At 44.9% G+C, this 26,006-nt stretch overlaps 1 protein-coding gene, 1 long non-coding RNA gene and 1 pseudogene across 5 annotated transcripts, besides 5 other annotated features; 1 reads left to right on the top strand and 2 right to left on the bottom strand.

Annotated features, from left to right (window-relative positions):
• Nucleotides 1-1,322: 1,322 nt before the first annotated feature.
• On the top strand, nt 1,323-11,888 carry LOC285819 (uncharacterized). Its single transcript, NR_038992.1, has 4 exons — nt 1,323-1,360; nt 4,712-5,997; nt 6,351-7,680; nt 11,639-11,888. It is a non-coding gene; the product is annotated as an uncharacterized LOC285819 (long non-coding RNA).
• Nucleotides 5,255-5,690: a transcriptional cis regulatory region, noted in NCBI's record as "candidate enhancer chr6.1165 targeted for multiplex CRISPR interference". NCBI's record gives its function as "positively regulates H2BC5 and H2B gene expression with high confidence in K562 cells {active_cell/tissue: K562}" and the evidence as "EXISTENCE:mutant phenotype evidence [ECO:0000015][PMID:30612741]".
• Nucleotides 5,311-5,967, bottom strand: BTN1A1P1 (butyrophilin subfamily 1 member A1 pseudogene 1; annotated as a pseudogene).
• Nucleotides 5,692-6,891: an enhancer, noted in NCBI's record as "BRD4-independent group 4 enhancer chr6:26477169-26478368 (GRCh37/hg19 assembly coordinates)". NCBI's record gives its function as "activates an origin of replication core promoter dependent on BRD2, P300/CBP, MED14 and CDK7 cofactors, and independent of BRD4, by STARR-seq in HCT116 cells {active_cell/tissue: HCT116}" and the evidence as "EXISTENCE:reporter gene assay evidence [ECO:0000049][PMID:35650434]".
• Nucleotides 7,210-25,877, bottom strand: BTN2A1 (butyrophilin subfamily 2 member A1). Of its 4 annotated transcripts, none has more exons than NM_001197234.3 (8): nt 25,690-25,877; nt 25,114-25,225; nt 24,004-24,351; nt 20,307-20,588; nt 18,426-18,647; nt 17,859-17,879; nt 17,744-17,770; nt 7,210-7,710 (listed from the first exon to the last, which is right to left on the bottom strand). In NM_001197234.3, exons 2-8 carry the CDS (start codon nt 25,193-25,195, stop codon nt 7,700-7,702), a joined length of 993 nt encoding a protein of 330 aa, NP_001184163.1. In that variant the 5' UTR covers nt 25,196-25,225; nt 25,690-25,877; the 3' UTR covers nt 7,210-7,699. The 4 variants fall into 4 exon arrangements, with proteins under 4 accessions (NP_001184163.1, NP_510961.1, NP_008980.1 ...); NM_078476.4 differs by lacking the exon at nt 7,210-7,710 and adding an exon at nt 14,195-16,113; NM_007049.5 differs by lacking the exon at nt 7,210-7,710 and adding an exon at nt 14,195-15,884.
• Nucleotides 9,948-9,997: an enhancer, noted in NCBI's record as "active region_24244". NCBI's record gives its function as "activates an Ori minimal core promoter by ATAC-STARR-seq in GM12878 lymphoblastoid cells {active_cell/tissue: GM12878}" and the evidence as "EXISTENCE:reporter gene assay evidence [ECO:0000049][PMID:35858748]".
• Nucleotides 16,966-18,165: an enhancer, noted in NCBI's record as "BRD4-independent group 4 enhancer chr6:26465895-26467094 (GRCh37/hg19 assembly coordinates)". NCBI's record gives its function as "activates an origin of replication core promoter dependent on BRD2, P300/CBP, MED14 and CDK7 cofactors, and independent of BRD4, by STARR-seq in HCT116 cells {active_cell/tissue: HCT116}" and the evidence as "EXISTENCE:reporter gene assay evidence [ECO:0000049][PMID:35650434]".
• Nucleotides 25,687-25,846: an enhancer, noted in NCBI's record as "active region_24243". NCBI's record gives its function as "activates an Ori minimal core promoter by ATAC-STARR-seq in GM12878 lymphoblastoid cells {active_cell/tissue: GM12878}" and the evidence as "EXISTENCE:reporter gene assay evidence [ECO:0000049][PMID:35858748]".

Here is a 26,006-nt window from a genome sequence, read left to right as displayed (position 1 = left end):
AGTTGATTCTGGCAATTTTTTTTTTTTTTGAGATGGAGTTTCACTCTTGTTGCCCAGGCTAGAGTGCAAGGGCACGATCTTGGCTCACTGCAACTTCTGCCTCCTGGGTTCAAGAGATTCTCCTGCCTCAGCCTCCTGAGTGGCTGGGATTACAGGCATGCACCACAATGCCTGGCTAATTTTGTATTTTTAGTAGAGATGGGGTTTCTCCATGTTGGTCAGGCTGGTCTCGAAATCCCAACCTCAGTTGATTCGCCCGCCTTGGCCTCCCAGAGTGCAGGGGATTACAGGCGTGACCCACTGCACCTGGCCTTTTCTGCCAATCTTTGCCAGTGTTTACTGCTTTTATGGAGGGAGGGATTTTCAGAAGTCCTCACTTAACCATTCTCACTGACTTCTCTACGTGTGTGTGTGCGTGCATGCACACGTGTTTAATGTCTAAAAATATAATTTGAAAATAACTTGTGCTTTAAAACCTCAGCCTTTTCCTCCCAGGGTAGATTTGGTTATCTTAGAGCAGCAATTCTCAGATGTTTTGGTCTCATGACCTTCTTATACTCTTGAAAATAATTGAGAATCCCAGAGAGTTTTTATTTATGTGAGTTATATCTATCAACACTTAGCATTTAAAAATTAAAACTGGGCTGGGTGTGGTGGTGCACATCTGTAACTCCAGCACGTTGGGAGGCCAAGGTGGGTGGATCGCTTGAGCTCAGGAGTTCGAGACAAGCCTGGGCAACATAGTGAGACCTTGTCTCTACAAAAAAATACAAAAATTAGCTATGTGTGGTGGCATGCACCTGTAATTTCAGCTACGTGGGAGGCTGAGGCAGGAACATCACTTGAGCCTGGGAGGTGAAGGTTGCAGTGAGTCTAGATGGCACCACTACTCTCCAGCCTAGGCGAATGATTGAGACCCTGTCTCAAATAAATAAATAAAACAGGTTTTTTTTTTTTTTTTAAATGAGAGTCTCGCTCTGTTGCCCTGGCTGGAGTGTAGTGGTACAATCTCGGCTCACTGCAACCTCCGCCTCCCAAATTCAAGTGATTCTCCTGCCTCAGTTTCCTAGTAGCTGGGATTACAGGCATGCACCACCATGTCTGGCTAATTTTTTTATTTTTCATAGAGACAAGGTTTCACCATGTTGGCCAGGTCTGACTCCTGGGCTCAAGTGATCGGCTTGCCTCGGCCTCCCTGAGTGCTGGGATTACAGGTGTGAGCCACCATGCCCGGCCCTTAAAACACAGCATTTTAAACACAATAATACACATTGTGACATACATTCCAATAGGTGTCAGAGGGATGATGTCATCATGTCTTCAACATCTGGAAAACTCCAATGCACACATGTGAGAGTATGTGAGTAAAAGAGGCAAATAACTTAAAAAAAATTTATTTATTTATTTTTAAAAATAGAGATGGGGGTCTCACTATGTTGTCCAGGCTGGTCTTGAATTCCTGGGCTCAAGTGATCCTCTCGCTTCTTTTTTTTTTGAAACAGAGTTCTCACTCTGTCACCCAAGCTGGAGTGTAGAGGCGTGATCATGGCTCACTGCATCCTCGACTTCCGAGGCTCAGGTGATCCTCCCACATCAGCCTCCTGAGTAGCTGGGACTACAGGAACTCACCACCATGCCCAGATAATTTTATGTATTTTTTGTAGAGATCAGGGTTTCACCATGTTGCCCAGGCAGGTCTCAAACTTCTGGCATCAAGTGATCTGCCTGCCTTGGTCTCCCAAAGCGTTGGGATTACAGGCATGAGCCACCATGCCCAGCCACAAATAACATTTTAGTATCATTATAAACATTGTCTTGGCCAGGTGCGGTGGCTCACACCTGTAATCTCAGCACTTTGGGAGGCAGAGATGGGTGGATCACCTGAGGTCAGGAGTTTGAGACCAGCTTGACCAATATGGTGAAACTCCATCTCTACTAAAAATATAAAAATTAGGCAGGAGTGGTGGCTACTCGGGAAGCTGAGACAGGAGAATAGCTTGAACCCAGGAGGCAGAGGTTGCAGTGAGCTGAGATCGTACCACTGCACTCCAGCCTGGGTGACAGAGTGAGACTCCATCTCAAAAAAAAAAAAAAAAAAAAGTCTTCACCTCATGGATCCCCTGAAAGAATCTTAGGGTCAGACCACACTTTTAAGAATCCCTGTCTTTGGTGGTTCCAGAGAAATAGACTATAGGACATCCACTGGAGAGCCCCGCAGCATCAATACCTTGAGGAAGTTAAGGAAAGAGGATAGACAGAAGGAAAAGTTGAAATATAATGCAGTCTCACAATGAACTCTGGAACTGGGGTGACCCTTCAGAGTTGTGTACCTTGTGCAAGGGGTCCAGGACCTTTACACCTATGTTTTCCAGTCATTGGATGTGGTCCACTCACTGAGAGGTGGAATAACCTTGGGCAACAGGGCTCTCTTTGGCTCTTTAACAATTCATGGTATGGAGTCAGCTGAGGGCCCTGAGCCACCAACACTCTCTGCAGCTGGTTGATTGTGTGTCTCAGTCCAACACGGAGTGACCAGGGCAGGGCACCACAGCATCCACCTCAGTGGGGAAATGAGAATGGAGTTGGACAGTTTGTGTGGAAGGGGGCAGGCAGAGAGAAGAAAAGGTTTTGGTGCTGGAAATAGTATAAAATGAAGGAGGAAGGAATATTTCTCTTTGTTTCTCAGGTACAGCTTTCAGTTCTATCCAAAGTTGGCCCCTGAGTTCATGTGAGAGAAATCACGTTATTTCTCTCCCTCTGCATAAGAAATCCTTGAACCAATGGGGACATGCTCATGGATTTCCCTAGAGAACTTTCTGACAACTCTGGCTCCAGATTAGTTTAATCTGTTCTCATTCCCATTTGTAGTTCAGTCATTTTACTGCATGAATAGCTGGGAGACTGGTTTACTTGCAGCTCAGTCACTTACTATGTGTTTTTAACTAAATACTTTCACTTTTCTTGGCCTCAACTTCCTCATCTCTAAAAAAAAACAAAAACAAAAACAAAAAAACGATGCTTGAAATTCTGGAACCAAGCATTTATGGGATTTTAGAGAAAATAAAGTATGTGTTCTGCAATAACCCAACATATTATTTTCCTGGAAAAAAAAAACAACAAACACCTTGAATTCTGCAAAATCATGCAACAAAAACACCAGGGCTTACAAAAAAATAGAGTTGGGCTTAGACAACTAAAAACCCATGCAGGTTTGTTTCCAAAACACTAATAAAGCCAACCAATCAGCAGCACCCATTCCCTAATGCCCACCAAATTGTCCATAAAAACCCTTAAAAAGAGAAAAAAAGAACACTAATAAAAACATCAATGATAGTAATACTTTTAGCACAGTTACCCAAACTCCTAATAACTAAACGTGTTTAATAGTAAATGTAGGGCTTTACCTGAAGGTAGGTGAATGTAGCTTAATAGAAAGAAGTATACTGGCTGGGTGTGGTGGCTCACACCTGTAATCCCAGCAGTTTGGGAGGCCGAGGCAGGCGGATCACCTGAGGTCGGGAGTTTGAGACCAGCCTGACTAACATGGAGAAACCCCGTCTCTACTAAAAATACAAAATTAGCCAAGCATGGTGGCACATGCCTGCAATCCCAGCTACTCGGGAGGCTGAGGCAGGAAAATCGCTTGAATCTGGGAGGCAGAGATTGCGATGAGTTGAGAACACACCATTGCACTCTAGCCTGGGCAACAAGAGCAAAACTCCATCTCAAAAAGAAGTATACCAAAAAGATGAGTTTGCTGAATTTGGGAACAAAGCAATGGTGGGCTAATAAATCGTATGCAGGAAGAAATGCCTTGTTTAGTATTGTTTGGCAATTTCTGTGGTGTAAATACTCCTACTATGAGTGATTTTTGCTCACTACTTTCCTGAAAATTTAACAATCACCTCTCCTAAACTGGTGCAAGCTGGCTGGCTCTAGGACACCAACAGGAGTAAGGGCTAACATTGTGACAACAGGCTAAAGGTGGAGAAGTTGTCATCTTTGTACAAAATGTGATCTACAAAGCTATGGTCTTGTGTTTCTTTTAAGCCAAAAGGAAAACCATGGGGCAAAAAGGCATTACATATGCTAGTGCATTTCTCTGTGGTTTTCTGAGCTTAGCTACTGGTGTATTTTGTACTCAAATAACTCTTCCTCAATGGCATAACACATTAATTTGGGAGAAAATTGAGTATGAGTAAAAGGAACACCGACATTATAATGCTGTCATAATTCCAGGATTAACAAAAAGCACATGAGCTAATTCCTATTACAGAAACACAATCTGTAGGTAGAAGAGGTTTTGTATATGTGAAGGGTGGGCTGGGGATGGGCTGTGTGAAAGATGGTGACTAATTTGACAGCATGTCTGTCGGAGTGGTGTAGCCCAGGGATGTTAGGCTAAATCGGCCTGGGGAGCAGGAAGCTGAGCTTTCATAGAGATGATGCATTGCAAAAAGATTCCTGAAAATGCCTCTAAAATGGAGGGTTGCTAAATCCACAGGGGAAGAGATCAGAGAACTTCTTGGACACAATGAAGTGAAGTTACATTGAGATCTAAGCAAGGGTTGGACAGGCAGACGATGGAGGGATCAGGGTTGGATATCAGTTACACAGATCACTGTGGAGTTCTGCTCAGAATCTCTTCAACACTGTCACTCTTGAGCTCCTCCTCATCTCTGCATCTCCCGACCCCTTGTCTTTCTGTTAGCACGATATGGAGACTCAAAAGAAGAAGTGCTGGATTTTGCTGCTCTGTTGGACACAGAACCATAAACTTGAGAATGCAAGTTCTTGAAATTCCAAGGCAACTTCCTAATTTCACTGTCAGCTGGGTTTCATGTCATCTTCTGCTAACACAACTGTTTCTGTGTTTCCTCTGTGTACCTTTCTTGGACTTCAGCTTGGGGTGTTTTCTTTCCCAGTAATGATTTTTTTTTCCTTTTTTTCTTTTTACATGCATAACACAGAGAATACCCCTCCACATCAACCCTGTTCTCAACATCAAGATATTTCCTCTCACACTCCTAAGTCACTCAGTCTCAATCCTTTATATGCCCTCAGACTTATTCCCAAACTCCCAGAACCTGTTTTCAGAGATAAGGCAGCAATAAAAGCACATTAAGAAGTCCCCCATATCTGCCAATCTAAATGCATCTCCATTTTCTCAAGCCTAATCCCTGTTCATCAGAAGTAACTGAGGGTCTGACAGTAATAGCTGAAGCCTCAGGAGACGAAATGGACTTTGGAGGAGAGAGGCTAGAGAGCAAAGACTATTAGTTGACATGAGGTGGCTGCTTAAGGGAGCCTATGGCTACATTGTGTTGTCACTTGTTTAGAAAAGAGCATATTTGTATTTCTGGAGGCAGAATTTTCTGAATTCTGGACAACAGAATCTCCTTAGGCCCCAGGCTTCACAAGACTGTGACCTCCTGAAAGTCCATCAACAATTGGGCAGGTGGTCAGGGGCTTTTTATCGCATGACCACAAGAAGAATAAAGGCTGAAGGGAGCCAGAGAAAGAGCCTTTGGGGAAAGCATAGATAAGGGGTTCTGTCACTCATGTTGTAGAAGGAGATGCCTCCTGCTTCATAGTCCAGGAAAATCTCAACCAGGGGGCTGGGATCTGACAAGAAGAGAAGGGTCTTGAGTGGGGAGAGGGCCCAGTACCCATTTACAGATGACTCCACAGCCCAGATCCCATTCTTAAGAGCAAGGAGAATTTTCTTCATCACATTCTTCCTACAGACTCCAACCAACCATTATTTCCCATCTCCCACCTCCACTTCCTGGTAATGTCTCTCCGAGGTGAAGGCTTCCAGGCCTAGCACACAGGGCCAGGAGTCACATCTCTCTGGTTTTTCAGGCAGTTTCTGACATGAATCTTCCAGTCAAACAGATTTGAATCCTAATAAAGAAAGAGGTGAGGGAGGGCTATGTTTGGGTCCAGAGTCACTTCAACTGGAGAGAAAGACAGAAACAAAAAGTCTGACCATTGGTGAGTGTTATGGTTACAGGACTATTTTTGCTTCTAAGAAACAGAGCACTGCTGTAGGAGTTGATAGGTCTCCTCAGGGGGAGGGCTGTTTGGCCTGCTAAGGGGTCTCCATTCCCCCAGGCTCCCTCTGTCACCAGCAGCCAGAGGGTGATGTTAAGAGTTGACTGTGCCCAGGCTTGTAATGCCTCGTGAGATAATCTCACAGGAAGCTGGACTCTTGGCCATCTTCCAAAGCCCCTCTCTGTGTTCCAAGGAAGTATTAGGCTTTCTTTCTTTTTTTTTTCCCCACAACTTAAAATCTCTGTGTTCATCACTAAAAGGGTATCAGCATTTTTCATTTCCACTTATTTTAGGTCTTTGGATACCTCAGAGGTTAAATCTCAGCACCCAGAGCAGTGCCCAGCCACTAACCTGCACAAGATCGAGCCAGTTTCCATTCTATAATAAAACAGAAACAAGAGTCATTGCCAGGTTAAAGAGAAAATCAGCTGGGTACGGTGGCTCACACCTGTAATCCCAGCACTTTGGGAGGCCAATGCAGGAAGATCACTTGAGCCAACTAAGGAGTTCGAGCGAGACTCCATCTCTACAAACAATTTAAAATAATAAAGAGACAGAGAGAGAAAGAAAAAAAAATCTTGTGTAATTTAAAGTAAAAGACAAAACTAAACTTCCTCCTTTGTATAGTGGTGTGAAGAAGAAGAAGAGGAAGAAGAAAAAGAGGAAGAAGAAGAAGGAGGAAAATAAAAAGACAAAACTAACATAAAAATTTCAGGAGCTTCTTTGTAAAATGAATAGAAATTCTTCAATAGGCCTCTGGGGCTGAGATGTGAGGAGGAGGAGGAAGAAAATGAGAGTGGGAAGGACGCACTGGAGGACTGTTACTATCTGAATCCTATCGCCTACAAAACATCAACTGATCAATCAGGCACAAGAAAGTGTTCTGCTTCTTTCTGTCACCTTAGAAATAACCTGGACGTCAAACATCGGTGAAAAGAAGAGAAAAAAAGGAAAATGAAATAACCTGGAAGCTCCTGATGATTTGAGATCAGATCTTTACATACTAAGAGATGGTTGCTATATCTGGGGGCCTTGAGTGAAAGGCAGCAGTGGGAGCCCAGCACCCATTTCCAGACAACTCCACAGCCCAGAGCCCAAACTCAGCAGTTATGAGTTGAATTTATTTTGTCAAACAAAAAGAGTCAAACTCTGTAAAATATTGCAAGAGATTTATTCTCAGCCAGATATGAGTGCCCAGTGGCTTGTGACACAGCCCCGAGATCCTGTGAACATGTGCCGAAGTGGTTGGGCTCCAGCTTCTTTTTATACTTTATATTTATTGAGATGTTTTAACTCTGCAGGCCAGAGAGAGAGACCTATCTGAAACCAGCTTGGGCAGCTGGAGAAGAATGAGGGTGAGCAGACATCTGGGCAAGCCGGAGTTTGGGAAAACTGCCATCTTCGACCTTTCTGGAGCAGCAAGATACTGGTGTGAGTCTGTCAGGAGCTTCAGCCTAGCTGATGAATAGACAGGAGAGAGCGATGGGCTCTACAGACCCGCTCAGCAGTTCTTTCCAACTTGGAGTGCTCTGGTCATTTGCATCTGAATCCTGCTGTGTCTTCTCTCCAGTGGAGATTTTCAAACCAGGCTGCCATCAGCACCCACTCACCACCCTAAGTTTGGTAAATGATATATAAAGCTTCAAACTGGCCCTACAACTCAAAAGGAGACATAGGAGAAGGGAGGCGTTCATGGGTTGCATATAAATGAGCACAGTTTGAAATCACTACACTAAAAAAAAATCTTTCAACTATAATAATATGTTATTTACTTTCAGCAATGAGTCAGTCAGGAATTTAGCCCAGGAAATCAACAGAAAAATAGACTCCTCCCTCCCCTGAGATGCTGCCTGCACTGGATTCATGTAAATTTAAATATAAATTTAGATTGATGTTCTTTCACCATCCTCCCCCATTATCCTTCTCTCACTTCAATCATAAATGCTCTTCTGTTTGCATCATAAATTTTTCCCCTCAATCCAGTACATTTTTCTTTTTTCCTTGTATTTATTTTATTTTATTTTAATTTTTTAGAGATGAAGTCTCACTATGTTTCCCAGTCTGATCTTGAACTTTTGGGCTCAAGTGATCCTCCCAACTCAGCCTCTCAAAGTGCTGAAATTACAGGCGTGAGCCACTATGCCCTGCTGATCCTGTACATTTTTTGAGTTCATTGTACCAATAGTTCCTCCATTAGCTTGGTTAAACATTCACAAAACAAAACAAAATGCCCCCAAATGTGACAGCTGAGTCCTTGTAGGAAAAAATCCTTAAGTGAAGCTTAGTATCCTGGGGTTCATTGCATATTCATATATACATACTTGGGGACCCATGCACTAAAAAGACAGACTCCTTTTGTTTACAATAATTCAGCCTTTGCTGTTAAGGTGATTAAGGCAAGTAGGTGTGGGTGGAGAGATAGTGACAAAGGAAGTGAACTAGAGGAATAAAGATCAAAAGATGGGAGGAGGTCACTAGGTCACAGTTAAGCAAGGGCAAGCAGGCAGGAACCAGCCCTGTTGCACTGGTGTACTTGGTCACCTGGGCAGGGTGTTGACGGGCTGTTGTGGGGATGTTGGGGACATCTAGAAAATATGGAGTTGAAAATTTACAATATACATATGAATCTTTAAGGCACATCTCTTTTTAGAACCTTTTGGAATATGTTCCTAAACATAACCAGGAGATATTTTAGGAGTCTTTTCGTCTCCTGGCTGGGGGCAGTGGCTCATGCCTGTAATCACAGCACTTTGGGAGGCCAAGGTGGGTGGATCACTTGAGGTCAGGAGTTCAGTACCAGCCTGGCCGGCCAGCCTGGCCAACATGGTGAAACCCCGTCTCTATTAAAAATACAAAAAATTTGCCAGGTGTGGTGGCGTATGCCTGTATTCCCAGCTACTCCGGAGGCTGAGGCCAGAGAATTGCTTGGCTGGGAAGGTGGATGCTGCAGTGAGCCGAGATTGTGTCACTGCACTCCAGCCTGGGCAACAGTGAGACTCTGACAAAAAAAAAAAAAAGGAGTCTTTGCTCCTTTCTGACTGTAATTAGTTCCTAAGAACATGCAGTTGGAAGGTTTCTCTATTCAGGTTGTCCCTCTTCAGCCAAATCTCAGCCTCTTCAGGTCCTTACTCTTTGCATTCTACCCTCTCCATCCTCACCCCTTTCTCTGTGCCAGTTCCCCTCTCAGCTTTTCAGTCCCTTTTCTTCCAGGCCTTGTAGCCCTGGCTCTAAGCAATTTTCCCCACTTACTCCTTAATATTCCTATCTGAAAATCATAGCCCACAAAAAAAGGTAATCAATAGTTTTCTGTTGTTAATAAAAACTTTAGACAAATTAAATTTAGCAGGGTTTAATTTGAACAAAGAACAATTTGCAAACCATCAGAACGATCGGGCAGCCATCAGAGAGGTTCAGTGAGCTCCATTCCACAAGGGAAGTGACACACAGAAACAGCTTAATTGGTTACAGCTCAGAGTTGGCCTTATTTGAACATAGTCTGATCACTTGGCTGCAGGGTTGACTGCCGCCGACTGAAGTTCGGCTACTGGGATTGGCTGAGACTCAGCTATTTGTTACAAAAGTATACTCCCATGCCTTAAGCTTTCAGTTAGTTTACATACTAAGTTAGGTTGCAGTTCATTATTTAAGGGCTCAAGAGCCATCCCTCAGGCTAAATGTATACATATCTCATACCAAATTTAGTTTAATTTAACACAATTATTTCTGCTTTAGTTAAGATTCTCTGATCCAGAATAAAGGAAAAGAAAGCATGTGCTGTACACTCGGTCCGAGAAACACTAAGAGAATCCTCTTTGTAGGAATTCGTGTTTTGATTGGCTCAGAGGTACCATTTCTCATCAGTTGCTGGGCAGAAGCCACTGGGGACGGTTAGAATGAAAACTGAAACGATATTGAATTGTACACATTGACGAAAAGTTTCAGCCCTACCTCTCAAAGTGTTTGCAGCTCTCTGTGTTTACATATTTGAATCATTAATGTGTGTGTTACGTGTACAATCAGTGTTTCTTCACATTCAGCTGTCTTTTATATCATAACAGAAATATCAGGAGAACTGAGTGGAAAAATGAAAAGATTTTAAGAAGAGAAGATAGGTATTAATTAAAATGATACTGTGGCAGTTTGCAGACATCCCCTTGCATGTAATTGTTACATGGAGGATATTATCATCTTTTGTTTTGGATATTATCATCTTTTACCACAGAGCCAAATGAAAGTATGAACATAATGAAAACTAGATCTATTGCATCTATTTTAGTACCTCCAAAATTCAGGTCTCAGATCCATTACCGAATTATAGAATTTTCTGGTATCCAGAGTTAGTGCTGTCTATAACTGCATATTTTATATTTTTCACAAAATTATTTTGGGTGTGACTGAAGCTTTCTTCACCTCTTGCTCCTTATTTGTGCCATACTGTATTTTCATGTGTATTTGTTTCTCACTCTGACAATGAAATATGTTCTAAGGTTAACCTTTGGGTAGACTGTGGGGGATGTCTTTGTAAGGGGTCCTTGCTACAAACCTTGGGACCTAGTGATAGCAGACAGGAGGCAGTCAGATGCCTAGGCAGGTAGCAATGGGTCCCCAGTGATACCCCACCTCCAAGCTGAAGACAGTTTAAAGCCTGAAAGCCAAACTACAAGGTAAATCCTCAGCCCAAATTGAGAACTTGTTGAGAACTTGTCTTCCTGTTTGGTGCACTTTCCTCTGATTGGTCCCCACCCTTCAACTACTTTCCATATACCCACACTTTCCTAATTGTTTTTTTACACTGTTGTGGCCATCTTTGAGTGGTGTCTTCACTTTAACCTTTTTTGCATACTCACAAACCATTCAGCACACACTTCCCATTCTGAGTCCATAAAACAGGCCTGGACCCAGCCACACAGGGGGAGCTTTCCTGCCTTCAGGTAGGGGTGCCAGCATCCCCTCTCTGCTGAGAGCTGTTCAGTCGCTTGATAAAATTCTTCTCAGCCCTCCTCACCCTTCAACGTCTAGTGTATCCTCATTCTTCTTGGGCATGGTACAAGAGCTCAGGAACTGCTGAACGTGGGTATAAGCTATAACACAGGTGAGCTGGGGCATGCCAGTTTAGCCAAGCGAGGCTTGGGTGGGGTGTTGCTGGCCAGAGGTCCCCTGCTTGCAAAGTGACAAATAAAAATCCTGTATCACTAGCACTTGCAACTTTAGTTGGGTCACAAATAAAATATAAAGGCCTATCATTTGTTTATGTTATAAAACAGACCCTTAAAGTAATTAAAACTCCTAGGACTTAGCTGAAACCTTGGCTGGTAGAAAATGATACTACAACAGTTTGAATTTAGGCTCTGTGGTAGAGTTGGCTGGCTGCTTGTTCAATAACAGATCTACTTTTCTCAGTAATAAAATCCCATTTTCTTATTGCAAGGTGTCCATCTCATTTGTAGACAGGGGAAGCCAAGGGACTAAGTTTGAGCCAATTGCTTGAGGGTGGAAGTTTATCAGACAGATTATTTAAGGGGAGGCTAAAACAGCTGGTAGACCCTTACACTCCCCTTACTTTCTACTTCCTCTTATCTAGAATATGGACTTTGGAGCTGGGCAGCCCTTTTGTGACCATGAGGCAACATTGAAGATGCAAGCCACATGCTAAGACAGAAGAAAATAAAGACAGAACTAAGCTGGGGCATGTATGACATTTCAAGCTCTCAGATCAGCCCTTGATGGCCACCATCCATATTTATTGACATGAAAAGAAGTCCTCATTTTGTCAAAGCCAATGATATTCAGGACTGTTATTAATAACAAAATACAATTCTTCCCTCTACCCACTACAGTGTATCATGAAACTCTTCAAACATATAGGAAAGTTGAGTATGGAATCTCTATCTCCAGCCTTGAGGTCTCACCTGGACTCTTGGTTATTCAATGGACTACTCTGCATCTCCATGTGCATCTCTAATATAGACTCCTCAACCTTAATGTATCCACAACTGAACCTTTGGTTCTGTACCACTCCCGTCTTGCTCCTTGTCTCTCCGTTTCCCCATCTCAGAAATTAACAACTTCATCTTTCCAGTTACTTTTCCTTCCTTCCTTCCTTCCTTCCTTTCCTTCCTTCCTTCTCTCTCTTTTCTTTTTTGAGAGTCTCACTCTGCCACTCAGGCTAGAGTGCAGTGGTGCACTGCAACCTCCACCTTCTGGGTTTTAGTACAGACAGGGTTTTACCATGTTGGCCAGGCTGTTCACGAACTCCTCACCTTAAGTGATCCACCTGCCTTGGCCTCCCAAAGTGCTGGGATGACGGGCGTGAGCCACCGTGCCCGGCCCATCTTTCCAGTTTCTTGGGACAAAAACCAAAGATCTACTTTTCTCCTTTGCCATATGAGGACACATTTAAAAGGCTGTGAACAAGGATGCAGGCTCTTACCAGTTACCAAACTGCTGGTGCCTTGGTCTTACATTTCCCAGCCCCCAGAGTGCAAGAAAAAAAATTTTGGTTGTTTATAAACGACTCAGTCTTGGTATATTTGTCATAGCTGTCTGGGCAGACTAAAACATGCACATAAACAACCCTGTTTTCTGCCTTAACAAATCAGGTATTTAAATATATGTTCCTGATTCTTCCCATAATGTGTCATTTGTAATTTCAGTAATATAATTTCAGACTGTTTAAAAAGCTTTTTGTTCAACCCAGTTTTACAACTGGATTACTGAGTTGTCTAAAATCCAAAACACTATCATTTAAGCCAGCATTTTAGATGCCTGATCGTTTCAGTCAGGGTTCTCCAGAGAGACAGAACCAATAGGGGATACAGACATGAGAGGGCATTTATTAAGGGAATTGACTCATGCAATTATGTAGCCTGAGAAATCCCATGACGGGCCATCTGCAAGCTGGAGACCCTGAGATTCTGGCAGCATGGCTCAGTCAAAGTGTGACAGCCTCAGAACCAAGCTGATGGCGTAACTCAGTCCAAAGACCCAAGGCCTGAGAACCTCAGGGCCACTGGTATAAGTCCCAAAGACCAAAGGCCGGAGAGCCTGGAGTTGTGATATTGAAGAGCAAGAGAAGAGTGTTCCAGAGAGACAGAGAGAGAGAGAGAATTCACCTTTCCTCTGCCTTTTGCTCTGTTGGGCTCACAGCTGATTGGAAGGTGCCCAAAGATATTGATGGCAGATCTCTTCCACTCAGTCCACTGACTCACATACCAGTCTCCCCTGGAAACACCCTCAGAGACACATCCAGAAATAATGCTCCATCAGTTGTCTAGGTATTCCTTAACCCAATCAAGTTGACACCTAAAATTAACCATCACATTGATTTACTTCCCGAATCCTCTATCCCAACTCTCAAATATGGTTTCAGGATTCCTGGGGTGGGGTGGGGGGGGTCTCTGACATAAGTTCCCTCCCCCTCTTTGTTTGAGACGGGAGTTTCACTCTTTCACCCAGGCTGGAGTGAAGCAGCACGATCTTGGCTCACTGCAACCTCCACCCCACTGGGGTTCAAGGATTCCCTGTCTCAGCCTCCTGAGTAGCTGGGATTATAGGTGCCCGCCACCATGCCTGGCTAATTTTTGTATTTTTAGTGAGATGGGGTTTTGCCATGTTGACCAGGCTGGTCTTGAACTCCTGACCTCAGGTGATCCACCCACCTCGGCTTCCTAAAGTGCTGGGATTACAGGCGTGAGCCACCGTGCCCGACCTGTGTTTTGGTTTTTTGAGGCAGAGTCTCACTCTGTTGCCTAGGCTGGAGTGCAATGGCAGGATCACAGCTCATTGCAAACTCCAACTCCTGGCTCAAGCAAGGAGTTGGAGTTAGTCTTTTTAGTCTCCTGAAGCAGGGACTACAGGCGTGCGCTACCACACCTAATTTTTTTTGTTTGTTTTTGGTAGAGACAAGGTCTCAGTTAACCAGAACTGTTTTAAGGGGCCTGCAAGGTTAATAATCGTATTTTCATATTAATAATAAAACACAGTTTGTTGTTTTTAATCTCATTCTGTCACTAGGATAAAGTTTTCTTGAGCCTATATAGTCTATGATATCTCAACAGAGTGAGTATAAAGGCAGATATGAGAATCCAGTCATATTCTTTCAAGCCACACATTAGATCTGGAAAAAGTTAATCAATGCCACACTTCACAATAAAATTTATTTTGCTTTGGATACCATACTTATTTTTCACAAACATTCTACTTATATTAACCTATAATTGGCTTATTCATGCTATTTTAATATAAATTAATAAATGTTGTAAATGTATGTATGTAATGTAAATAAATGTTGTAAAGGTAATAAATTAAAACATTTCTTAGTTTCAATCTCAAATGCCATAAATACCAACAAATATTAACCCAAATAAACAAAAACTCTTTGGAATCCTCCATCATTTGTAAGGCGTCTCAAGATATCATGAAACCAGGAAGTTTGAAGCCACTGGTGTCCCCACTGAACTTGAATACTGAGGTAGATCTGGTCCATTACTCCTTGGCTCAGCCAGGACCTCAAATTTCAGCCACACTCAGGGACTGAGTACTGACTCCTTGCCAACTGCAGGGACACCTGAGCCAAACTACATCCACGTGCATCCATGTTCTTCATTCATCTTCATCCCAGGTCCAGGCCTGTGGATGTGCGCTCTGGAAATCCTGGGGCTGGGTGGAAATGAGCCATCATCTCCCAGGTCCCCTTAGCTGTTATGGTGGGACTTAGCCACCCTTACAACCTTGGTCCCTCCCAGCTCTCTGGTTCCACTTCCTCTATCTCTGATCTGCATATCTGGTTCCCTCTCCTCTCTGGTGGTCCTGTGGATTCCTCTCTCCTCTTACATCCTGGTGAACCCTGTAGGCCTCATTCCAAGTCCATATCTTCTGGTGCCAACTGGAATACTGGGCTTAATGTGGTCACCCTGATGTTAAACAGCAGGTTTGCTGCCCATCAACTTCTCACACTTTCTTCTTGGCTGGGAGCTGTGTAACAACTAGTTCCCTATGCCTGGATCCCATCCCATAGTTACAAGCAAAGGAACTACTAAAAACACAGCCTAGTGAGGAGGAGAAAACTGGGGCTGAGGTCTGTAGTGGGTGTGAAAGAGGCAGCTGGAAGATGTTCTCTTGTGTGACCAGAGGGGAGGAGGGCGTGTCTTCCACCAGGGGTGTTGTGCGGTGGCTGCTGAGATGACCAGGGCTTGTCTACATGGCTGTGAGACCAAGGAATTGATTCTATAGGCTCTGGTGGGTCCCCACTCTGTGAAGTGTCAGGCCCTCTTCAGGCACCGTGACCCCATTGGCTCCTGTGAGTGCAGGGCAGATGAAGATGGGGCTGTCCTCACACCCCAACCTGAAGAAGGGCCTCACAGGCACGGAAAAGGCTGAACGGGGACATGTGTAGATGTGCGATCTGTCCCTCATGTTGTAGAAGGAGACATCTCCAGCTTCATAGTCCAGGAAGACGCCCACCCGGCAAAGGGACTCCTTCAAAGGGAGAATCCTATCAGGGGAGGACACGGCCCGGTATTGCCCTTTATGCATCTCCAAGGTCCAGAAGCCATTCTGAGGAATCAGCAGGACCTCCCCTTTCCTCTCAACACTGTCTCTACAGACCCCCACAGTCCACTCAATCACGTTTTCCACCTCCACCTCCCAGTAATGTTTCCCTGAAGCGAAGCTCTCCCGGCCTAGGACACAAGGCTGACTGTCGAATCTCTCTGGGTTGTCAGGCACGCTCTCCCCTAGGTGCCTGAAGGGGCACCTTCTCACACTTCTCCGGTCCTCTGACAGGAAGAGATCGGGATGAGCGGTGTCTGGATCCAGGACCACATCAACTGCAGAGGAAGTCTCAGGTTTAGGCCTGGGGTCTCAGGAACCCTGGGGATTGTGTGGTTCCTGATCCCCAGAGAGGTCTCAGATATCTCTGAAGGGATCCCCACGTAGTGGCCACTTCCATGAAGGCTCTCTGATCCTAGGCAGCTCACACACTGAGAATTACTGAAGCTGCACTTCTGTCTCTCCAGAGACAGAAGCAGTTCTCTCAGTTTGAGAAGAATTGGAGCTCTAAGAAATCCGGAAAGTTTAGCAAATGAAGTAAAATCAATCATTCTTATACTTTCTCTCAGCATTCTAAGATGTGTTCCCTTTTCTATCCAAGACATATGATCTCTGGCCAGGCGTGGTGACTCACGCCTGTAATCCCAGAACTTTGGGAGGCTGAGGCAGGTGGATCACCTGAGGTCAGGAGTTCGAGACCAGCCTGGACAACATGGTGAAACCCCATCTCTACTAAAAATACAAAAATTAGCCGGGCATGGTGGTGCACACCTGTAATCCCAGCTACTCAGGAGGCTGAGGCACGAGAATTGCTTGAACCCGGGAGGCAGAGGTTGCAGTGAGCCCAGATTGTGCCATGGCACTCCAGCCTGGGTGACAGAGCAAGACATCATCTCAAAACAAAACAAAACAAAACCCCAAATGAAGACCTATGATCTCTGGGATTTTCTTTACTTAGAAACTTTCCAACTTGGCTTAAACCAGCACAAAGGCTTTATGTCCTGCTCCTCCTCTCCCCGGTGGATCAACTAAGGTGAGTCTTTCCCTTCACACTGTCCTGGAGGATAAAGGGTCTCTTCATTGGTCCTATGTGTTCCTTTTACCAGATCACAACTGACTTAAATGACTAACAAGGGCACCCTTCAAAAAATGAAGAAGGAGAATAAATGTCCCCAAAAGAAAACCTGTTGCCTGAGGGGTCTGTGGGCAAATGTAGGGAGTAACTATTCCCATCCAGTTTTGCTTCAACAACATGGGTCTGATGTCTTCACATATCACTTCTGTAGGTACAAGAAATGCTCCAGACTCCGGGCATTCTGCAGACCTCTCCCATCTGTATTTATTCTTACTTATTCAGTCTACTTTTCTATTGTGTTAAAATGATTTCCTCCATTCCCCAAGTTAATATGTCTGGCTGTGACAATTTGCTATTTTGTCCCAAGTTGACAGTGGCAATTTTGAAATTCACCTAAAGAGGAAAGGTCCATGTGCCATGGTATCTGGTAAAGCTTGGATTCTGTGGTGCTTATGGGCAGAGGGGCTGAATCATAAGATGAAAAGTGCTCACTGGGAGTGGGCAATTGGGTTCTGTGCTCTCCCACCCACCTGAAATCCCTCCCACGGCAGGCTATACACAAAGTATTAGTGTTCTCTTAAGAGCAGAAAGGCATTTCTGGCCACCTATTGGTACACCCTTATGTCAGGCTTACTAGGGACCCTCCTGGCCTCTTCCCTACATGGGTCTTCAACTTGGCACAGTCTACACCATCCCCAGGATATAAGCTGCTAAGATAGCATTGTCTTTTTTCAAATTCATCCAGGATCAAAGAACAACAACTACTGAAATGTAACTCTTAGGAAGGCTACTATATATGGGACACCTCTGGTAATCATGCATTAAATTACTCCAAAAGATAAAGGATCCTGGGATGTAAACCATAGGGTGGATTGAGAGCTGCTGGGATTCCCTGACAGAAGAGACATGATGCATCATTGCTGGGACACTGTTGATGAACTGACCCCCGTTCCCTGCTGTCCCCACCTTGCCCTGGGCCCCTTGCTCATCTCCTCTAAGGAGTCCTGTTAGCTGGCTAGTGTGGAGAAAGCTGAGATCTGAGGGAACATCAGAGGCACTCACCAGCATGTAAGAATGTTCTTCTCCATCCTGCAAGGGACAGACAGAGACGAATGTCATGAGATGTTGCTGAGCAGAACTCAAATTGTACATGTAGTTAAGGAAAGGCTAAACTTACGCAATTCTTCTTGAAGTTTCTCTGAAAAACAAACAAAGAAAATCATGTCTTTGACAGAAGAACTAAAAGAAGTTGGGTTTTTAGTAAACAATGCAGGAACCGTCCTTTCTATGAACAGCAACATCTCCCTTCCCTCATGCCTAGGGCACTGTCAGAAACCAGAAATTATGTATGATCAGGTGGCTGGGTAGTACCAGCACATTGTTACACTTGCTTTTGCTCAACCATTTAGTACTTTATGTAGCCAGATGAATGAATGCAAGGTGGGCAGAGTGAAAGAATGAAAGCTCTGAGAGATTCATTCCAAGGACATGAGAGTTCCAAGTCCTTGCTGCTGCTGTGCATTTCCTCTCTCTTCTGTATGCTGGTACCTGGGAGAGCTGTGTCCTTTCTATGGTGGTGAACTGTCCTTCTACTCTTTTTCTTTTCTTTTTTTTTTTAATTAAACAGGGTCTCACTTTATCGCCCAGGCTGGTCTCGAACTCCAGGGCTCAAGTGATCTGCCTGCCTCAGCCTCCCACAGTGCTGGGATTCAAGCCATGAGCCACCATACTCAGCCTCTTTTACCTTTTACTTGAAGTTCTTCCTCTTTTTGCACACGTTCTTTCTCCAGTTCCTTTAGAGCAATTTCTCTTGTTTCCCGTTCAAACTCCTTTTCCCCTGACAGAATCTTTTTTTCCTTTTGGAGTTTGTTGATCCAATAGATGCATACGGCAATGGGTATCATCAGAATAACCACAATGATAGGCAGGGCCACTGCACAGGGAGACACACTGGGCATAAAGGATTCTGAAAAGGCAGCCAGAAATATCCACTTAGTTTGAAACAGAACATCTGGGGTAAGAGTGCCCCTAGGAGCACACTTGAAGAGCTCCTCAGCCACCTGCTCTCCTGCTTTCTCCCTCAGAAAACTCAGATGGAGAAAGTGATGCTGGCTCACACCTGGCTGACACCTCAATGGCTTCCAGGGCCAAGGCCCAGAGGTAGCAAACCAGTCACCATGGGAAGGACCAGGATGAATAAAGCTAACCCGTCATGCTGAGTCGGCACAGCCACCACCCTGCCTCAAGCTACCATCACTCACGCCTGGAATACTGCGGTGCCCTCCTTCTTATTCTGCCCTTACCTTCTGTAGTCTATTTTCAACAGACCAGCCCTAGTGTGATCATGATACTTCTTAGCTCAAAACCTTCCAACGCTTTCCACGTCACTCGCCCTAAAAACCAAAGACTGTTTGTGGCTTACAATGCCATGTTTAATGTGTTTTCATTGCCTCTGTGAATTCATCTCCTTTCACTTCCTGCACTCACTCCATTTCAGCCACACCAGCATCACCTTCTGGGGGTCCTGGAAACTGCCAGAGATGTTCCTTCCCCAGGCCCTTTGCATATGCTCTTCCTGTAGCTGGGTTGTTCAGTCCTTAAGCATCTGATGACTCCTTGCCATCAGATGGGATGGCTCAATTCCCATCTTTACAGTGAAGTCTTCCCTGACCATTCTGTTAAGAATTGCAATGTCTCACATTGCCTCTTTATTCCTTCCTTGCTTAATGTTTCCTATAGATGTTCATTACCATCTGATAGAATATATGGTTAGCTAACTAATCACTTTTTGAGGGAAGAGTTCTTAATATAATTTGTTCAATGATTTACCCTTGGTAGAACAGTGTTTTGAACATACGATATGCTTCTTGACCATTTGTTGAATGAATTGTGAGTGTGTGTCTATAGGGAATTTCCACAGCTCTGTCCTGTGGAAAATCCCCTGCACAGGAAGGGATGGCTACAGCATACAGGAACACCAAGTGTAGAGAGTCACTTATCCACACCACCCTCCATATGTTATGGTTGTTTTCAATGTCTAAAAATTGCTGGCCGGGTATGGTGGCTCACGCCTGTAATCCTAGCACTTTGGAAGGCTGAGGCAGGTGGATCACTTGAGGTCAGGAGTTCGAGAACAGCCTGGTCAACAAGGTGAAATCCCCATCTCTACTAAAAATACAAAAATTAGCCGGGTGTGGTGGCGTGTGCCTGTAGTCCTAGCCTTCGGGAGGCTGAGGTATGAGAATTGCTTGAACCTGGGAGGAGGAGGTTGCAGTGAGCCAAGATTGTGCCACTGCATGCTAGCCTGTGTGACAGAGCAAGAACTTGTCTTAAAAAAAAATTGCAGCAGTGTAAGGACCTTATTGGGGGGAAAAACAACAACAACAACAACAACAACAACAAAAACAGGTTTACCCTCAGAGAAGAGGCTCCTACTCCTGAGTTTTGGGACACTTTGATTCTCCTTTTGTGAGAAGCGGAAAGGCTTCACTCAGCTGCAGCCTCCAGGTCCTTAGGGCCCAGGACTATTTCACCCACACTGCTGCCCCCATCCCCGTTCTGGGCTCCATCTGTGTGCTGAGGATCCCCCATGCACTCGACGAGTCTCAGAGGGCAGAGAACTAACCTGGAATAAAAATGACACTTTCTTTCTTCTGGCCGAGCAGGGTGTTGTTGATAGAGCAGGACATGTTCCTCACAGACTTGTCTCTGATGATCACAGCCGTGGTGACCATGAAGAGGCCGTCTGCATCAGGCATGGAGACCTCTTTCAGGGCAGGCGCAACCCCACCGTAGGGGTCCCTCCACACTGTGAGGGGCTTTGGGTACCACCCTCTAGATATGCACTCCAGCCGGATGCCCCCGTCTTCATGGCCCCTCATTGAAATGAGGGGCTTAGAGCCTAGTCCTGTGGAGAGATATCAGGGTTCAGGCAAAAGTCAGTGCCTTTTGCATCTCTTCTGTGCCTATTGCATCTCTTCTGTGAAGCTAGAAAGTAAAGGTAAAAAAGAGGGAGATAGGAAACAAGAAATAGGAAGGAAGAAAAAAAGGATGAGGGTAAGGAAGAAAGAACATTGATGTTGGAGAACACCAGCAGGCCAATGGGCCACATAAACTGTGAGCTCTCTAAGAGGAAAGGATCCCATTGCACCCTTTTCTTTGCGGTCCACCTATAGGCCCCATCACAGCACCAAGCATCTATCTGTCTGCCATAAATGCTTGTTCAATTTATCCTGCCAGACTAATTTTCTCACTTTGAGATGGGTGTGTCGACTCCAACTTCAAACAGGCAGGTTTTGGATTTCACTTTCTGCTTCTGGGACGACTTCTCAGTAGACCTCAGCTTCCAGAAGCTCTAGAATAATAACGAGAAGGACGAAAGTCTGCCAGGCGGGCAGAATCCTAAGAAACCTTTTGATCCAAAGACATTGACCCTTCTGTCTAGTTCAGAACTTCACATAACCACCGCTTTCTACCACCCATAGGAGGTGATGGTTTTTAGGAGACTTGACAGATCTAGCCTGCAAATCCAACTCTAATCCTAATTCACACTGTTTACCTCCCAGAGGCTCCATCCATTAGGCAGTATTGCTTTTGTTGTTTTAGGGACAGGGTTTTAGCTCTGCTGTCCAGGTTGGAGTGCAGTGGCAAAATCATAGCTCACTGTGCCTTGTACTCCTGGGCTCAAGAGATCCTCCTGCTTCAGTCTCCCAACTAGCTAGGATTACAGGCATTTTCCACCATTCTTGGCTAACATGTTGCCCAGGCTGGGTGATTTTCTTATAGTACTTGGAGAACATCAACTTATTAGAAAGATCTGGATGATCCAGGGACTAAGATAACCATACCACTTTTTCAATATCAGAGATCATCACCAAAAATCCTAAGAAACTAGACTCACCCTAACTACAATCCATCTTTAAATGAATCTTCCATAAGAGTGAACACCAGGTATGAAAGAGCTGCAAAAGCGTGGTCCTGGGAGACCTTTCAGCCATGTGTGACCATCTAAACTTCTTCTGAGTAATTCCTTTGTAAAGTCTCCCAAAGAATTTTACCAAAGACAGGAAATTAAATCAATAACTTAAGTCTGGTGCTTTGGCTCAATTTAATAAAAAAAAATTTTTTTTTTTGACACAGTCTCACTCTATCGCCTGGGCTGGAATGCAGAAGCATGATCATGGCTCACTGCATCCTCGATTTCTGAGGGTCAGGTGATCCTCCCACCTCAGCCTCCCAAGTAGCTGAGACTACAGGCATGTGCCACCATGCCCAGCTACTTTTTTTTTGTATCTTTTTGTAGAGACTGGATTTTGCCATGTTGCCCAGGCTTATTTTTATTTATTTATTTATTTATTGATTTATTTTTTAGACAGAGTCTTGCTCTGTAGCCCAGGCTAGAGTGAAATGGTAGGATCTCAGCTCATTGCAACCTAGGCCACCTGAATTCAAGTGATTCTCTGGCCTCAGCCTCCCAAGTAGCTGGGACTACAGGCATGTGCCACCATGCCTGGATACTTTTTGTAATTTTAGTAAAGACAGGGTTTCACCATGTTGGCCAGGCTGGTCTCCAGCGCCTGACCTCGGATGACCCACCCGCCTTGGCCTCCCAAAATGCTAGGATTACAGGCATGAATCACTGCACTCGGCCCAGGGTCACTTTAATTTTTATCAAGAGATAAAACTACTTGTACATTTAAAGGCTCAGTGGAATAAGAATTAAAATAACTCAGCAAATTGGAAAACGAAATTCTTCAAAACATTCTATGAGGTTCAATACAGGCAAGCATGACAAAATAGATTTAAGGGCAAAATCAGCCACCAACCAACCTAACAAAGAGAATACAATGAACAAACAAACAAAAAGTCCTAAGCAATCCAATTCAGAGTGGGAAAGGCCAGGCCACTGTCAGTTTTATAGGCAAAGAATGGCAGATTCCTGCCGCGCAGAAACCATAACTGGTCAACCCTGGAGTGCTGCTATGAACACAGTCATGATGCAGGGTCAAGAAACCCTCCTTCCATGATATTCTGCTTTAATCAGATGCAAGGTTGCCTTTGTGTGTAGCAAAGATGGGGTCTCCTACCTGTTATGATTTGAGGCCCCCAGGGAAAGACCCAATTCCCTAGTCCTCACCTCCTCTGTCTGGTCTGATGGAGTGAAATGCCACCACAGATTATCCTGCACCTTAAAGGCTTTTTCAGTCCTCAAATATATCTTTTTTGTTGTTGTTTAATTTTTGATACAGAGTCTTGCTCTGTCGCCCAGGCTGGAGTGATGTGGTAAGATCTCGGCTCCCTGCAACCTCTGCCTCCTGGGTTCAAGCAATTCTTGTGCCTCAGCCTCCCAAGAAGCTCAGATTACAGGCACACTCCACAAAGCCTGGCTAATGTTTCTGTATTTTTAGTAGAGATGGGGTTGCACCATGCTGGCCAGGCTGGTCTCGAACTCCTGGCCTCAAGTAATCCACCTGCCTCTGCCTCCCAAAGTGCTCGTATTACAGGTATGAGCCACCACGCCCAGCCCAAATATATCTTTTAAAGCATAATACACTAACCCCAAAACTGAAGTAATCACTTAATGTCATTTTAACAAATTCCTAGAAATCCCAGTTTAAATGCATTTTTATGTGGAAGGCTTCCCTATTACCTCCCAGCAAAATTCGTAGTCTTTCTCTATGGAGTTAGCAGGAACTATATATAATTTTGCTTCTGTATTTCGTCTTGGTTTAATAAAACCATCTATTTACAATAAGTCACTCTCTCTGCAATCAGCATTTTGGGAAAGATGAAGTAAAGATTAATATTTATCAAGAAATAAGATTTGATATGTTGTAGTTCTCTGGGTAATCAGTTTATTCCAGTTGTCTTGGAACAATTATTGACAGTGTCTCCTCTCACTCTCAGAAGTGCAACCTGGGAGGCAGAGGTTGCAGTGAGACAAGATCGTGCCAGCGAGGGTACAACAGAGCAAGACTCTGTCTCAAAAAGAAAAAAAAAACCCAAAAGAAGTGCACAGTTCAATCCTAAGGCAGGTATAAGACTTCTCTTCCGAGACTGACCATTTTCCCCTGCTCACGGCCTCAGCTGAATTCTGCATGTGCTTCTCAAGAAGTGAAGCCCTTAGCTTAGCAGGGCAAACCCACTCATGTGTCCCTTGTGCAGGAGGAAGGATTTTTCCCTGGAATTCCGTTTCCACAGGGAGAGTGGAAAAGGGAGTCCAGACAAAAATTTGCTGGTCTGCAATGGGCCTGAGGTTAGGAGAGAAACTTTCCCCAAAGTCACACTGTGCCAAAGTAACAAAGCAAAATGAAGCGACGCACCTGCCACTACGAGGTGCAGGATGGCCTCATCGTAGGACCTGCCTTCTTGGAAGTAACAGCGGTAGGTGCCGTTTTCCTGGGCTGTGATGTTGTGTATGACCAGGGCCACGCTGCCCCTGCTGATGTCTTTGCTCACAAAGGTGGTTCTTCCTCGGTACTCCTCCATCTGCTCCTCTGTTCTCTCTCTGCCACCTTTATACACAAACACTGCGGGGGAGAACTGAGACCGGAACCACCGCACCTCCATGTCCTCAGCATTTTTCTCGGGTGACAGATGGCAGCGTAACGTAGTGTTTTCTCCAACCGTGGCCAAGATGGGATCAGTGGGCCCCACGACAATAAACTGGGCTGTTCAACAAAGGGGTAGAGTCAGACAAAGACACCAGCCATCACATCTCTAAGGCAAGAAAGGAAGCAGATATTCTAGGGACAAACTTATTTTTTCCATGGCCATAGGGTCTCTTTGGGCTGAGAAATCTGGGGACCAGTAGCTGTGGCTAGTCGACAGCACCCCTGGGAGCAGTAACTATAAAGTGTGCTTCTGCTTCATGAAGGAAACCCTGAGGAACCTGCCCTGAGCACCCTCTGTCCACCCTGTGCCCTTGAGGGGATTTTCCTCGATTTCCCAATCTAGTGCTGTGCCTGAGTGTACTGTAAACTTGAGCCGTGCAATAGGACACATATCCACTAGCTAGTTCCAACTGAAATGAGCTGTAAGTGTAAAATACACACAGGATTATGAAGATTTAAAATTTCAAAATGTTGACTATCTCATTGGTAATATGGTATATTAACTAAGTATTTAAATATTCGTATTTGATTATTTGGGGCGAAACAAAATATAGTATACAAATTTATTTCATGTTTCTTTTTACTTTTTAAAATAAAAAGTAAAATTTAATTTTTTTTGAAAATTTGCAATTGTACATGCACTCGGCCTTTGTGCCTCACTGTATTCCTTTTGGACAGTGCTGGTATAAATTCAATGAACATGTTCAGAATGAAAGGGTAAGTCAACAACTCCACAGTCCTTCTTTCTTTCCCTTTGCAGACTACAGGGTTGATGTTCCTTTCTGATAGGTGACAGCAGCAAGTGGCACACATCCCTACCTGAGACCAGTGCACACAGGCTGAGGAGGAGGAGGAGGAGGGAGGCTGGCCGGGAGAAGTGCAGGGCAGCAGCTGATTCCATGAGCACCCAGAGCAGGCAGGGACAGGAGGCCTAGGGTTACAGAGGAGAATCAGCCTAGGAGTCTTGGCACCTCAGTGCTGGTCGGGCCCAACCTCTCCCGTCACTCAAGTAGGTCTCATCAGTGCCCCAACTTCAGGGAGTCCCCTGCATCCGAAGGCTCAGGTATGTCCCGAGAGAGGGATTCCTTAAACATTCCATGAAGTAAGCCATCAATGCCAAGATCAAGGGGGCCTTTTTCCGCCCTCCTCGGCTCACTTCTCTGGCCAGAATGCAGTTTCTTCAGTTGTCGCTGGATTCTACCACACCCTCCTCCCTTCACTTCCTCCTCCCCGCGACCCAGGCCGGGCAGCCTGAGGCAAAGACAGGCGAGGCCGCGCCTCCCCACCGGTGGGCTTTCCCTGTCCCAGGACCCCGTCTCGTGTCCACAGCAGACCCCGCTTCCCCCACCTACTGTGCCCACCCCGGAGCTGTAGCGCCTCCCCTCCGTTTCCTACCTTCTAGAATTAAACGTTGCTTTTTCTTTTCTCCGCTGGTTCTCGACGATTCTCCAGTCGTCCCTCTTCTCTCCAATCTGCCCAGGGGCACAGGCACTACTAGACACAAACCTTCCCAAAAGAGGAGAAAAAATTGTTCTTCCCCTTCTCCTAGGTCGCCATGTTTGGAGATGCAGGAAACGAAATCTGGTCTCCTGGGCTTCCACAGTCCCAAGAGTTCCCTAAGTATTTTAGAGCCCAGGATTGGCCGGGTGTGAGTGAACCAGCCAATGGTGTCGAACCTTATTTCTCAGCAGTTGCTGGGTAGAATACACCGA

The sequence above is a fragment of the Homo sapiens genome, chromosome 6 (genome assembly GCF_000001405.40).
Source record: "Homo sapiens chromosome 6, GRCh38.p14 Primary Assembly".
Classification (NCBI taxonomy): Eukaryota; Metazoa; Chordata; class Mammalia; order Primates; family Hominidae; genus Homo; species Homo sapiens.
This window is presented reverse-complemented; position numbering and strand designations above follow the sequence as displayed.